The following is a 1,275-nucleotide window of genomic DNA, read 5'->3' as shown; positions in this document are numbered from 1 at the left end:
TCCTTCAATAACGGAGAAATTGAAAGCTGCATTTTATTCATGACTGAGCATAAATAACATGTTTAGATTTCATTGTTTAGTAAAAAATGATGCATAAATTAACTCTTCCCCTAATTTTAGTTCTATTCAGACATGCCATTTTAATTCCTCTTAATGTACTCATTCATAGAGTTAGTACCAAGCGGTATAAAAGACACTAGTCTTCATCTCGTAATAATTTTAGCAAAGGTCCCTTTGAATCTACATGTATAGGTCGTATTTTCCTTCCTTTCGATGCAACACTAAATTAAACTCAGTATGTTGCTCAGACATGTGTTGGGAGAAATAGACAAAGGTTATATTGATGCATGTGGTTTCCTGGTCTTTTCTAGGGCATGATCTTATATTATCACCCTCCACCACCTGGCCTCAGCAATCAGTGAGAGGGCTGTGTTCCTATGAGCAGTTTCACATCCTCCTCCTGCCTTTCACACTGGCCATACAGGGAACCCCTGTGGCTGTCCCCGGATACTGCAGGCTGCTGCCTCCTGCACACCTGCTATTGGCCAGATCACTCTGCCCCCTGGTCCCTGATGCCTGACTGTGTCCTTGGGTGAGATGCACCTGAGAAACTGTAGCAGTGCTGCTTGGAACGAGGGCATCCCAGTTAGCTATGGATCAGGACTCTTGCTCATTTTCACCACCTTTGGCCAGAGCACAGCCAAATGTCCAGTTCTCTACTGTGTTTCTCTCCCTTGGCTGGAACAAGGACATAAGCCTCTGCAGGCCCCGGGACACCCCACCCTGCCTCACTGAAAACGAGAACCTCTCTTGGGAATGTGCAGAGCTCTGGGAGGTTGCTATTCCAATTCAACCAGAATTTCATGAATTGTGCTTTCCAGTTTCATTTGGAGAAACAGTTGCTTTGATTAAAATACAGGTATACTTCCTCAGAGATACTGTTGATTTAGTTCCAGACCACTGCCGTAATGGTCACAGTAAAGTGAGTCACATAAATGTTTTTGTTTTCTGGTACATATAAAAGTTATGCTTACACTAAACTCTAGTCTCTTAAATATGCAACAGCATTATATCTAAGAAAAATGTATGCAGCATAATTAATTTTTTTTATTGCTAAAGATAGAGCAAGGAGGATACTAAAAGAATCTGTCTTCCACCTCGGGGGTGAAGGGGGCAACTAGACATTCATCCACTTATTTATTTTGGAGCCTCTGAGCCCCCTCTGAATTCCCTCTGACCCACCCCCCCACCACACACAACAGCAACAACAACACA

The 1,275-nt window shown here is 43.0% G+C and overlaps 1 annotated feature.

The window, feature by feature from the left end:
• Positions 596-665: an enhancer, noted in NCBI's record as "active region_16085". NCBI's record gives its function as "activates an Ori minimal core promoter by ATAC-STARR-seq in GM12878 lymphoblastoid cells {active_cell/tissue: GM12878}" and the evidence as "EXISTENCE:reporter gene assay evidence [ECO:0000049][PMID:35858748]".

The sequence above is a fragment of the Homo sapiens genome, chromosome 2 (assembly GCF_000001405.40).
Source record: "Homo sapiens chromosome 2, GRCh38.p14 Primary Assembly".
NCBI classification, from domain to species: Eukaryota; Metazoa; Chordata; class Mammalia; order Primates; family Hominidae; genus Homo; species Homo sapiens.
The sequence above is the reverse complement of the archived record's forward strand: the minus strand, read 5'-3'. Positions and strand labels throughout refer to the sequence as shown.